At 40.2% G+C, this 14605-nt stretch overlaps 1 annotated feature.

Annotated features, from left to right (window-relative positions):
• Positions 14035-14124: an enhancer, noted in NCBI's record as "active region_16658". NCBI's record gives its function as "activates an Ori minimal core promoter by ATAC-STARR-seq in GM12878 lymphoblastoid cells {active_cell/tissue: GM12878}" and the evidence as "EXISTENCE:reporter gene assay evidence [ECO:0000049][PMID:35858748]".

Below are 14605 nucleotides of genomic sequence, written 5' to 3'. Positions count from 1 at the left end.
CGGGTAACTGAGGGACAAATAGGGTGGCCACATAAGAGATTAAATAATAACGAAATGTTCAATTTCTTGACTTTCTTGAAAGGATGAGACTAGCCATATCATTTTGTTTTCACATCTTATGCCCAAGTAAAGCCACAAAGCAGTAAGTAAAGCGAAAGAGAAAAGCTCTTTAGAAATGCTGGGAATCTGCAGAGCCTTCAGCACTCATCTCCCTCCCAGGTGTCTGCAGCCCTGAGACAATGACATTCCGTCACACAATCCCCGAGAGTTGAACCCAGAAACGAACTCTGTGACTGGTTCTCCCTTAAGGAAGCGGCTGCGCAACACCCAAGGCCAAGGGGGTGTCGGGTAGTTCGCCTCCCGGGAATTTGGGGTCAAAGGAGGCAGAGATGACCCTCCACCATGTCCGCGTGCCGACTGCACCGGCTCGCGGAACATTCAGTTGTGATTCCTAAGTTGCAAATTGGCTAGTGCCTTTTCTGTTTCACAGAGTCGCTGTCAAACTCCCGGCCGGCCGCGCACCGAGTTGCTCGGGTGAAGAGCGTCGCATGCATTGCCCCTGCATCTTTCCAGATGCAGCTGAGGACTTTTCTTGTCCTAATGTTTCTAGGAGTAAAGTGAGGAAAAACAGCAGACACGCTGCATTGCCAAAAGCCAGACGTTGCATTACCTTCTTCAGAAAGAGATTAAACTTTGTAATGAGGGCTTCATACCGCCCTCGTATTCCCGCGTCCTCTTAAGCATTTCAGTTATTGTGTATCGTTCCAGCAATGGAAAATATATGATCATTGTTCCGAAGACATGACCATACAGTTCTCAGCTCTGAGGGAAGGTCTAATTTTAAGTCTTTGCTATCTAGCCCCATTTTGAGTTTATGGAAAGATGGCCTTAATTCAAAGCTCGAGTGAGCAGTGAGCAGCGCTGTCGCCTGCTCCTTCCTGAGGTCTGCCTTCTGCGGTCCAGGCGACCGCCACAATTTCTTTCGGTGCCCTGCTGGCCTTCCGCTGTGGATGGGTGGATGTGTGTGTGTGTGTGTGTGTGAGAGAGAGAGAGAGTATTTGGGGTACTGATTCTCACAAGAGAGATATGTAAGGCCCAGGGAGCCGATGGCGCCCTGCAGTGACAGCGGCACCCAACGACCTTGTGTATTTCTTTCTGGCACTGGACTCCATTCCTAGATAGTTTAGGTGGCTCCTCCCCTAAAAAACACCGGTCATAAGTCTTACGGGCCACTGGTTCTCCGCATGCAAGGAGCACAACAAGGAGATATAGATATTCTTGCAAACTTAAGAATGTCATTTGAAGGTTCAATTTCACTTTGTTTGGAGAATCTCTTGGCTTTCTCGGTGTCAGTGCGTCACCGAGAATATCAAATTATCTAATTGTATTTTAAACCTAGGCGTCGGCATTGCAGAAATGTTTCCAAGATACAAACAGATCTGTGAGGGAAAAGTTTAATTTCATTGCAATATTTTGATCACAGAGTTTTCCAGTACAGGATACAATTCCATCTCGCCAGGTCCTATACAGGGGAGTGACACCAGAGCACTTCTAGGCATCGCGCGTGTTGCGCGTCTTCGAGCCACCAGTTCCCCGCCTCGCGTCGCACGCTCGTCCGTTTCCTTTTGTATCCGCCGCGCGGCAGCGCCGAGGTGCCGAGAGTAAAGGCTGGGGGGCTCCCTGCCTGGGCCTCGCCTCTCTCTGTGGAAGACGCGCTTGTCTCAAGCCCCGATGCTCTCAAATCCAGGTCAAAAATGGAGACCGTTTCCCTCAAGGTGGAAGGGGAAAGGAGAGTATCTATTCTTGGAGATTTTAAAACTTTTTCTCAGTATTATTTTCACTATTGAATAGAGGTCTGGAAGTGAGTTTCTCATATATTCTTCTCCAAAGGAGGTTGTAAGGTCCCCTCTCCATTTGTCCCCGCTGTCAGAATAGGAATGCTTGCATAGTGGCCGCACCCCGGAATTTCTCAGGATTCCAAGCTTCCCAGGCAACTATGGGCTGGGACTGACTCAATTTTGGAGTCTCATGGAGGAGGAAGAGGGTTTGGGGTCTCAGCCGACGCCCAGTTAACCCTTCTTCCCCATAGGGCTCAGCCACAACTTAAAAAAAAAAGCGCACCCAATTCCAAGTCTTCGGGAAAGGTTCTGCTTAGATCGGTGCATCCGACAGAACTCGAACCCGAGCAATCACGTTTCGCACCCCTGCATTTATTGTGTTCAGTCGATACTGGCTGACTGCTCGTAAAGCAAGATATGAATTCCAAACAGGTCATCACTTTTTAGTAATTCGTTTTTAATAATAAAATGAACATATGGAAATCCCCATTTTACTTTTAAATTTTGCTAGAAACCAAAATATTGCACATAACTATTTAGGATGGCAAGACTGTGATTTAAAGTCATTTTCCTTTAGTATGTTCCCCGAGACCATTAGGAGCGACAGCTGGGGCCGCAAGAAAGATCTTTCCTCCGACTTTGACTTTGCCTTTCCTTAGGAAAAGTCCAGCTTCCGTCGGAGGGCGCCTGGTGGGGCGGTCCTGACGCGGGAAAGCAGGGCCCCACCCCACGCTGGGGGCGCTCGAAGAGAGCGGCAATTTTGTTCCCTAGCCGCGAAGTGCGCTCTGGGCCCTGCAGACAGTGGCGGGAGAATTCCAGAAAGCAGGGTTCTTGCCGCGTACTCCCCACCCCCACCCCCACGCCTTCTTATTAGTCACCCCCCAACCCCTCCTCCCAGCATAGTCTTATTTCGAGGCTTCGGAATTACTGGAGAGGACTTGTGTCCGCGATCCGCCCTGCGGCGAAAATGGAGACACAAGCCCTCCTGCTCTGCCCACTGCGTTTTGGAGACGTAGTTTGACTTTGCGGCTTGCAGTCGTAGACTTTGCGGAGAGAGCCTTGGAGCAATTAGGACGCATTCACTTGGGTGAACTTTGTTTCCTCGGTGTCCCTCCCTTTCCTCCCCAGCTGCTCCCTGCGTCTTCCTCAGCTGTTCTACACCCCCCCGCCCCCCACCCTCAGGGCGAAGGCTGCAACAGGCTGCCGTCGCCTCTAGGTCGCGTCTGTTGCGCTAGGGCACGAGCACAGGAGGCGGAGCGCGTCTCCTGCTTCTCCCTGCACCCAACGATTTCCGGTCAGTCTCTGGTCTCTTGGAACGCTGAGCTGGACTGGGGCGACCTCCCACGCGACACTGGGGAAAACTCTTTTTCTAGTGGTGAGGGCGCACAAAAGGGCGGGGCAGAGGCGCGTCCGCACCTCGTGGAGGTCTAGGAGAGGGGCCCAGACGCCCATGCCACAACCATGCTCCACACGTGTGCTCACGACCCAAAGCTCTGAAGATAGATTGTGCGTTCCCGCCCTGCTTTCAGGTCTCCTCGCAACGCATGTAATGAGCCCTAGGCCTGCGAGCGCTGGAGCGAGCGTCTAGTCAAGTGGCCAGATCAGGGCTGCGCCTGTAGGGGCCTTGGGGCCGCCTGTACGCTTATCTTCCCGCGGCTGGGAGCGCTCCTTCTTCTCTACAAGATGCTGACTGCGGGCCGCTCGCTGCCCTCTTCTCGGCTTAGCTGAACCCTGTCGCGCCGAGTTTAACTAGACACAGCGCCGAGCCGGCACCTGGATCCTAGCAGAGCTCAACTTCAACGCTTTTCTCCTCATTTCTTCTTCCCACACTTAATCTTTCTCACTCCCATTTTTTCTTATTTCTATCTCAACCTGTGTTTAGATAAACTAGGATTTCCAGGACATGTGTCACCCGTTCTAGCAGATACAATGCCCAAGTTTCTGCTAGAGACGTCCCTGGTACAGTAGAGGGCGGCTGCTGCGAGTGTGAGAAGTCTTTCATCGGGTACTAGAGGGACTTCCAGAGGGATTGAGTCTACCACAATTTCTTGGCTCTGGAAGCTTGGACAAGAGGATTGTTTTGACAGACTCAAATTAAATTGGGATTTCGAGAAGGGTAAGGACAGAGAGAGGACTCCTCATCAATAAGCTGCAAATAGGCCAGTGTTTTTCAAACTGAGGGTCCTGACCCATTAGTGGTTTTCAAAGATATTATATTGGGTTGCCATCAGAATTTTCTTCTAAAGAAATGAAAGAATAATAGAATAGAAATTATGAGGGCTTTGCAGGATAGCAAAAATATAAGACGTCTAAGCATTGTTTGCTGCAATTTTTCTTGGGTGACACTATGAAATATATTTATGGGGGGGTCTCAGTTAAAAAGGTTGATAGTGTCACTACTGAGGACCAATTGTACATGAAGTGAGAGAAAGGGCTGCCTTTATTGAGAGATACTGATAAGGGAATCTCAGCACTGTGGTTTTCTTTTCTTTTCTTTTTCTTTCTTTCTTTTCTTTTCTTTTCTTTTTTTTTTTTTTTTGAGATTGAGATGGAGTCCTCGCTCTGTCGCCCAGGCTGGAGTGCAGTGGTGTGTTCTCAGCTCACTGCAGCCTCTGTCTCCCTGACAGGTGCGGGCACCCCACCCAGCTTTTTTTTTTTTCTTTTTTGTGTGTTTCTAGTAGAGATGGGGTTTCACAGTGTTGGCCAGGCTGGTCTCAAACCCCTGACCTCAGGTGATCCACCTGCCTTGGCCTCCCAAAGTGCTGGGATTACAGGTGTGAGCCACCATGCCTGGCCTACTACTGTGGTTTTCTGGCCAGTCCTCTTTCTTCACTCTGGTTTGTTCGTTTTTGGTCACCACTCCAATGGACTTCTGTATCTCTTTATCCTCTGGCCTGTTATCTGCTTGAAGCCAGGTGGGTGTCATAAGGAAGGGCCAGGGGGACAAGCACATAAGCACATGTAGCCACCCCCTTTTCATCTTCCTCAGCAACCTGGTACCTGGGAAGAGAGTGAACAGCAAAAAAGGCATAGAGGAAAGCTAGAGAAAAGGGATGGTAGTGAATGTCCCATTGTCCATGTCACAGGCCTTCTCATTTATATGCTATTGCCAAACAAGAAGGAGGAAGCAAAAGCTTTTGGGGGAAATGGGTAGAGATAGGGATGGATAAAGATAATGAACCATACTGTGAATGATCAGGTGAGCAGGGACTGATAAGTTGGAAGAGGAGGAGGCAATTTAGAGGATTTATTTAATCAGAGTCCTAGAGTTGAAGGCAGAGATGAGAAGGAGAGGACTAAAATGGCCAGGGTGCCAACAATAATGTGAATGAGTTTAAAGTAAGAAGAGATCTATGGAAGTGAATAAAAAGGGCACATGGAGGATGCTGGGTGCTGGGCAGGCAGGTAGGTATAAGGTGAAAGTTGGATATAGAGGCCATAGCAAGACTATGTTAGGAGAGTGTGGCTCTAAGTATGGGAAGCTCTGGGCTAATGAGGACCACACAGATGTTTCAAGGTGTCATAAAGGAGTCAAAAGGAACAAAATCATTGGCATGGAAACTTGCATTTCCTATAATTCCATTCTAGTCAGAGAGCTTGTTTCCTAAGAGGTGCTGCAATCTTTAGGCAGGGGTGATGTGGACTCCTTCAAAGATTTGGGTCATTGTGAAGGGCAGAAGCAGGTGGCAGACGGAGGACACATTCCATGGTTTCTGACATTCCTCCATTACAATAACTCTGTCTACTACATGTTGCAATTCCAGATATCATATCATATAATCATCTCAACTCCAAATATGACGTTGGCACTGTTATTTCCATTTTACAAATGAAGAGATGAGGTTGAGAGGTATCGTTTATTATCTTGGCCTATAAGTACATGGAAGAGTTGGAATTCGAACTGAGAGCCAGGATATGAACTTACAAGTGCCTTGCTTTAGCACTGCCTGTCCCAGAAGGATTGTACCTTTCTGCTTCTCCAGAAACTAACTAAAGATTTTCTCACCTGCTGAGAGTTGAGGATGTTGCTTCAGGCATGTTCAGACTTCTGGAGGGGAGCATTGACCTGAAACCACAGTGGGGTAAGTGATAATAGCATAATCTTCTTCTCGCTGAAATTTTAAAGAAGGGATTATTTTCATTGCTTTTCGTAGTTTATGGGTGAAGGAGTTCTGAGTTGCTTGCTTTGCTGCCCAAGAAAAGAGTGGGAATGATTGCTGCGTGTGTTTATGCCATTGAGAAAGTCATATTAAAAGTAGTAAAAAAGAAAACTGTTTTTCATCCTCAAGCTGTTTGAATTCCCTTATATTAATCATGTGAGTTTTCAGCAAGCTTCTAGGTTTCCTATCAGGAAAACCAAATTGCATATTAGTTAGTTCACAGTCCTGAGCAGGCCACTTTGTAAAAATGAAAAGCTGGCTATGCATGAACCTTTTATTCTTTCTTCTACTTCTTCTATATTTGTGGTAGACAGTGTTTAGCTGTTATTAACATTTTCTTAAGAGCTACTCTCACAGTCTAACAAATGGTATAAATAGATTTTGCTTAGACAGTCAAGCAGAGAGTAATATTTATTCAGAAGACTGTCTGCATCTAACTTGGTGTGGTCAAAGGGTGGCAAAAATAGTCTTATTATATTATAAAATTTATTAGAATATACATACTTGACAGACAAAACATAGTGGATTTAGATCAGCTGTTTGCTTATACAATAGATTTTGTTCGTCTTTTGACATTTAATTTAAGCTTCACTTATCTGAGGGCTGGAAGTAGGATAAGTATGTTCTGCATGTGTTATGCTTCTTGTTTTATAAGACTTACTTGTCTGCAGTTATCCGGAAATAATTCATAATCAGTGATTTAGGGACAAGGAAGCCTTGTGACATGTTCTCAAAGTGTCTTTCTGAAATGAAGTTCTGAAAAGTTGAATTATGGAGACCCTAACAGGGGTTTCTATTTTTGAGGAATGAAGATAGCTACATTTGCTTTCTTGGTCTTTTGACTAATTATCCTCCCTGCATACTGAATTGATACAGTTAAAAACAAGCTTCTAACAAATCCATAATGAATCTATTCGGTGCCAGGAGTCTGTGTTCTGTGTAATTGTCCTGCTCTCAGAAATGCTGGGCAGAATTCTCTACATGGGCCACATGTGTGGAAATGACATAGAAAACATTTGACACATCAGTGACTTATTTTTAATATATCTGAGAAAAATAAAGTCCGCTGCTGTAAAATCTGCACTTGTAGATGTGTGAGCCCTAAATAACCTTTAAAATTGGTCGTGGTGTGGTGGGAGATGTTGGTATTCATGAGTGTTTTGACATGTTTGACATTTTATGTATGGTGCACTGCTCTGTCTGTCTTGCATTTTTTCCCCAATAGTGCATATTTTCTTACTAAAATTCAGCTTTTGGTGTTTATATTTGGGGTTTCCAAGTCTGCTTATTGGATGAATGATTTGCTTGTTACTTATGCGAATAATGTTTTAATGAATTAGGTTACTATTGATTTTTACACTATAAGCATAAAAGAGGAATTCATAAAAAAGATAATTTTGATTTTAAAAGAAGCAATATATGATAAAATATATTCGATAAGTGCCACATATCTCCAACTTGCAGTGGTCCTCAGTTAGTAAATAAGGAAAAGCAATTCTATGGAATGATTATGCTCTCTGGAGCCAAGGAATTTGTGCACCTGAATCTTGGGTAGTGAATATAGATTTTAAAAATCTGTCTGAGCAGCATTTAAATTTGTCCTCCATTTATATTTGGAAGGGACAAAAGGGTCCCTAGTAAAGAATTGTCAATTGAACTGAAAATCTGGGTGGACGGTAAATATAATGTAAAAAATACATACCTAAGTATATGTAGAATCAGATGTCAATAGTGTTCACTGAATAGGATATATGTTTGATACTGTGGTCATCTCCTTTCGTATCATCTTCTATATTAATTCTCTAGGTAGAATTCAATAAGTGAGTGTAAAACTAATCCTTGGTGAAGCATTTTTCAAATTTATGACTACGATACTACTTTTTTTGAGTATTAGAAAAGGCAAAAATTTTGATTGAAAAGCTTTTACTATCACGTTTTTTCCTTTGTGATAAAACCGAATGCTATACAGTCTATTCTAATTTCTATCCTAACTTGACTAATGATAGATTTGGCTGAAAGTTTCATAATTCAGAATTAAGATGTTGCTAATTACCTTTTCCCTCTTTAAAGCCCATGTTACTAATAATGTGGCTTCCCTTTAAATGTTATTCTCTTTAAGACTGTAAGTGACTCTGAGGCTTTGACATTTTTTTGTCCCAGATATTTCTCCTGTTTTTAATCTCCACTTGTTGTCACATGCCAGGACAGCACTGTACCTTCAGGTGGGAGGACAGAGGGGCAACTTTCTTTGTCCAGGGTGTCAGGGCTCTTTTCCTCTGGAGCGGAAGTTTTATGTGCACTTTCCTTTGTACCCTTTCCCTGGAGACTAACACATCACCTCCATGACACATGTAGCAGTTGTGGCCTGGGGTTTGACCAGGATAGCATAAGTTTACTTTCAGTAAGCAGAAGTATTTAATTGCTTCTTACAATTCAAATGGTATCAAGAGACCAACTTGCATGCACTATCTAAGAGTACCTTCTCATGTTCTGTTCTTGACTAACAAAGCCTCAATGTCTCTCACATCCCTTTGAGGATCTTCTTGAGTAAAATTTCATTCATAAAACACAAAACAACATAAAACTTTAACATTGAAAGTGCAGTGCTGCTCTTTTAAAAATATTATTTTGATTTGTAGAGCAATGTGAATGATTATAGTCTGACACTAACAAGATTGTGAATCTCATTTTCAATGTTATGAGTTAGGAAAAATGCAAGGCTTTTCTTGAATGTGCAGTGTTTTGTATGCTCAACATTGCTTTCATCAAAATATGTACTGTTGATTCATTCATTACATTCCTTGTCTGTACTTAACTGAAAAGCAAGAAAAAGAAAATCAAGTGCTTGTCTTTCCTTGAGTTAATTTCCCTTAACATGTATTCAAAATAAGCATTCCAATGTAGCATCATGTAAAATAGTTATAGAATTTGATGATTATAGGAAAGTTTGGTGTGGGTGAGAAATGCATCATTCATTAGATTGCAAGTAGCAATGTATGAGAGAAAGGCAGGTACTATAAACAAGAAGCTATAAATAAGCACTTTTCCTCCTTTCTGTTACTTGAATACAAATACTTGCATTACGTGGACATATTCATAAATTTTGATGATAACTTAGTGAAACAGGACCATAAATATGGAAACTAGGCATATTATTAAATGTATATGATTTTACAATGAATGCTTATTATTTTTAAAAGTCTGTGTTCCTATGGCTTTTACTTAGAGAAATCAATCTTCTGGTACTATGAATAGCCTAATCATTTTTTTTCCTCTAGCTAATAACAGTAACTTCCAAAATTGAAGACTGAACCACAGCAGTCAAACTTATCAACCTTTTGATCAAAACCGGTGACTAAAAGGAATATGAAACCTGTGATACAGTTTCAGAAAACCTTATTTCAAATCTTATTCATATTAACATGGCCACTGTCACATGTGCTGAAAATTGGTTGAGAGACCGTAAATAAAATGAACTGTTATTCTGCAATAAGCTGACTTGTGTGGAGTGATTCAGTGGGGGTGCTGTTATAAGGTTTTTATTTAACCGTATTATTAATAACCCTTATAATGGGCAAAGATCATATTAATTACACTCATAAATGAAACTGAATCGAGATCTTGGTGGTGCTGGAGAAATACAGTGGCACAAAGAGAGGTCAGGCATACATGGAAAAAATAAAGCATTTCTCAGCTGAGAAAGACGAAAGCAAATATATCTAATACACATCTCAGTACAAATTTGAAATACAAAGTATGAGTTCAAGAGAAATATTTGTAAAATGATAATGCTTGAAATGAAGGCTAGAGAAAAAAATTACCTGGAAATATTTTGTATAAACTTATAGCAAAAAAAATCTTATATGCTTTTGAAGCTGCATGCCCAGAGACTTCTCACCAAGAGAAAAAGAGAGGTGATCATCTTTTTTCTGTATAAAGCATTGATGAGGCAGTACCAGAATCTTGCATGCATTTCTGAATGTCCCAGCACCAGAACGATGTTGACAAATTGGACAGATTTCAGAGAAGCACAACAAAAATGATTAAGGGGCTGGTGCAATTGACTTATGAGGATAGATTAAAAGAACCAATTATGTATTGCTCACCCAAACAAGACGGGCAGCAGAGTGGGGAGGAGAGACAAGAAAACCAGGTATGATCACTTGAAGAGTGTAAATACCAAGGTAGGAGATGAATTGTTTAGATTGGTCCAAAGTGGCAATAACTTTGAGGTACAGGGAAAGAAATAAGTAAAGAATAATTTGGTAGATTATGAAAACATAATTTGCAGTGATGTTACTTATAAAAAATAATGGAAGCAATTTTGAGGAATTGGTAAACTGCATTGGCTTATTATTATTCTGTTTTTCAAAATGCAAAAAGAAACTGCTTATTCACTACTGGGAAAACTTTCAGATGAGAAGGAGGAAAAGAAAGGAAAACCCAATAGTTTACTTCAATTTAGAATGTGAGGAGCTTCCTATGTAGTTTAAATTAAATATGACACATTCCAATAAAGGTCAGAGTGAATGTTAAATGAAGCTGTCCTAAAAATAGGACCATTCCTGCTTTCCCAGCTCTTCTTAGCATTACATGTACTCTCAACCATATATTCTATAGTAGGGTAATCTTAGCTTGGTCAGTGTAATAAGAGGATTCTAATGTTTTCTTTTAATAAAATATTCCTCTCATGAAGCAATTGTCCTCATAATGATGTTGATGGGACAATCTTCACTATCAAATTGATAAAAGAAGTGAGAAGTGTTCTTATTTGTCCTTGATTACTATTTTTCCTGTCTTGTCCTTCTGAAACATGGCTCAACTAGGAAGGAAAAAGAATGAATGAAATGAAGTGGCCACTTTAAGTTATATAAGCATAGAAGTGAGGGAAAGGATATTACAAACCATCCTATCTTAGAAGCCAAGCAAAGGAAAAGATTTCTTCTAGTGTCAAGGAGGAACATAAATGCCTTAAAAAACATTAATGGTAGAAAAAGAAAAAATGTAAGTGAACTGAAGGCCCATAAGGATCTCCTGCTTTCTCTGTCGTAGTAGGAGAGTGATTTTCCTGTGCTAGAAGATGCAGTATGTGAGGTAGAGAGATGCAGAAGGAGAATCTCATTAACATGAGCTCTCTCCACTTCTCCATGCAATTGGAAACTGCCTGCTGTCAGGCTGCTGAGAAGCCAACATATGCAGGCTTCCAGGGTGTGCATGCTGCAGAAGGCTGAGTGTAATTATTTCTGGATAGGATCCTGCGTATGATTCCATGATAGTACTGACTTATAGTCTGTCTTTATTTGAACTGATACTTCCTGTACTTATAATTTAAGCTTCTAACAGTGAGGTATCATTTTGGAGGTGCACATAGATATTTTCTCTTAAGTTAGGTAGTGAACGTTGAATTCTGTTGCATTTACTGTACTGATTGGAAGAAAAAAAGAAAAAAAATCCCAACGTTTGTTTTTATTTTTTTTAAAGGATTATTGTTGTTGTGTTAGCCAGTACATATGTGACGGTTTATGGTCAGTTATATCTAACTGGTTCTATTTGTACTATCTTTAAATTTCTATTAGGTGTATGTTATACCAAAACTTTCCACATAATTTTAGTTTCAAGTTGACAAAATGTTACATGGTACCTTTTTACTCTGCTGTAAGAGATCCCAAGTGTTTTTATTTATTATTATTATCTATTAAAAAATAATCAGTTTTAAAAACTGCATTGTCTTAGTAAAAGTCAATGAATGATGTTTACTAGACAGTTTTATTAAGTGGAGAAGATGCTGTAAGATTTCAGTATGTATTTTCTTCATTTTGTAAATGGTTATAATTTCTGTTTTTATTTTAGCAAACTCTTCAGCCCAGATATTTACTTTAATCATTTCTGTCTTAAAAAGTGATAGAGAAGAGATTACACAGGTAGACTATGCTGTAAGCAAACGTTTATATTTGTTAAACTGCTTTACTTGTGTTACTGTCTTAGTGATTCGATAGAAAAATGACCTTACTTTTGCACAAAAAATTAATTAAAGAAAGCTGCAATCATTGACTTTTTCTTATAAGACTAATTATAAACTTTTCTAACATGAAACGTTTCTGCTGTAACTATTTGCGAATTTAAAACTTCCAATGTGGAGAGAGGAGGGGGGTTGATTTTTGTTGCCAGTTTTTTAATTGAAAACATTATTATTATTATTATCATTGCACAATATTTATAATGCCTATTTTGTGAATTTTATTCATTTTGAAGCAGTTAACATTTGTTATCTTCTTAGAAAGATAAGCACTTGTTTGTTTCTTGAATTGTAAAATGATAAAGCTTGAAGTGATCTCACCAGGTTGACTAAGGCTATCTTTTTTCTCTTGCCCAATATTGTCCTGCTTCCCTTGGATGCCACAGACAATGTTCCATTTTAACTCCAACTAAACAAAGGGTAACCTGTCAAGGGATAGGAATTTGAAAAAATTTTTATGAACACTTTAATATTTAGATGCTAACTACTTTGAATATCCCATTAAAAGGAAGGAAAGATTTATCTTTTGATAAATTTCTGGGGCTCAGTGGAAATTCTTAGGCACTCCAGTGTTTTACCCTGTAGTGCATTAACACATTTATATTCCAGATAAACGTCTCAGAAATGACTGTTTTTAGGCCCACTTTAGGAAGGGCATATTTTGCATATAAAATATTATGATACAGTGACAGAATATTATAGCATTTAGTGAATGATTTAGTGAATACTCTCCCAAGTGTTTTTAGGATGCCAAGTGTAGCTAAATTACATTATGTACATTTGGCTTACTTATACAAAATGTATTTATTTATAGAAAAAGTAGTTTTTTGAGATGATTCTTTAACATATGTGAATAACTTCCATTGATTTTTTTCCAAGGAATAAGAAATATTTAAGTTGATATGAATGTGAGAGTTTTTGACAATGGTGAGCTTTGTTGCTTAACACTTTCTTGGTGGATTTATAAATAATGACATGTTCTAAGGATGCACACAATGCAGAAAAAATGCTTGAGGCAGTCAACATATATTATTATATATACAGATACTAAATTGCTCTGACACTAATTAGGGCATAAATAATGGTATACCTAACCAAAGACAAGCAAAACATTTGTTTCATAATTAAACTAAAACTTTATTTGCAGGTTCAGGGTTCATCTGCTTAAAACAGGCCAGGTCAGAGAGATAAAACATAAGCAAGTAGACAGAGCCACAGTGCCCAGCTTTGCATCATTCTGAGGACTTTGAACTCCCATTGAGGGTCCAGGGTCTTGAGGCATGTGGAAATAGGAATTGGCATGTTCAGTAGGGCGAACTCTTGTCTTTGAGCTTTTTATTTTCCATAAGTGTATACCAGACTCTGTTTACATATCTTCCTCCCTTTTGTCTTGATCAGTTTGGAGTTTTCAAGGGAAGGGTCAGCCTAGTTTGTGTTTATATTAGGAGCACTTTGGGAATTTAATTAGTCACCTTGCTGAAAATTACATATTTTATTTTAATTACAAAGAATGAAAGAAGTAGCCTCCAGTGGAATGGTAGCTTTAGAATCTTTTTGGAGTACTAGGGGAACAGTTCCAAAGATTTGGATATGAATGTGAAAGTTGACCAAATGCAAAATAGTAGTTACTGTATAACTCAATAATGCAATGCATCGTATCACCTATAAGATAGGTTGGGATTTTTGGCACTTTGTATGAGCATTGAAGTAAAACTAGGCATCATTGGTGATATGGTTTGGCTCCGTGTCCCAACCCAAATATTATGTTGAACCCAGTGTTGGAGGAGGGCCCTGGTGGGAGGTGATTGAATCATGGGGTTGGACTTCTCCCTTGCTGTTCTTATGATAGAATTCTCATGAGATCTGGTTGTTTGAAAGTGTGTTGTAGCACTTCCCTCTTCTCTCCCCCTTCCCCACTCCTCCCTGGGAAGAAGGTGCTTGCTTTAACTTCTCCCTTCTGCTATGATTTTAAGTTTCCTGGGGCCTCCCCAGCCATGCTTCCTGTACAGTCTGTGAAACTGTGAGTCATTTAAACCTATTTTCTTCATAAATTACCCAGTCTTAGATAGTGTGACAGTGGACTAATACAACTGGTAAATGACCAAACATCTATGTTTATTGGGCATTGCCACTTACTAACTGTTACCATGGGCAATTTTCCTATCCTATCTATGCTTCAGTTTCTTCATCAGTAAATGAAATAAAAATATGATCTTCTCTTAGGGTAATTGCGAGGTTTAAATGTAGAAAATGCTTAGAACAATGCCTGATTAGTGATTAATTCCTGGTAAGCTATTATTACTTTGATTATTGCAATCTTATTGGGCTCTGAGAATACAATTACTTTGTATTTCAATTCTGCTTTTCCCCCTTATTGATTCTCCCGTTGTACTTCTTGGTTTGTACTGCTATTCTATGTAAAGATCCTCTTTTGGATTCATTTATTTGATCAATTTTGATGGCAAATTCTCTATGTGTGAGAGGGTAGGGATACTGGGAAGACAAATAAAATCCATGGTCACTTATCTGAGCCATCTTACAACCTTGTAAGGGAGACATACATGAAAACAAACACTTTCAACACAATATGT

This window comes from Homo sapiens, chromosome 2 (genome assembly GCF_000001405.40).
Source record: "Homo sapiens chromosome 2, GRCh38.p14 Primary Assembly".
Lineage (NCBI taxonomy): Eukaryota > Metazoa > Chordata > Mammalia > Primates > Hominidae > Homo > Homo sapiens.
The sequence above is the reverse complement of the archived record's forward strand: the minus strand, read 5'-3'. Positions and strand labels throughout refer to the sequence as shown.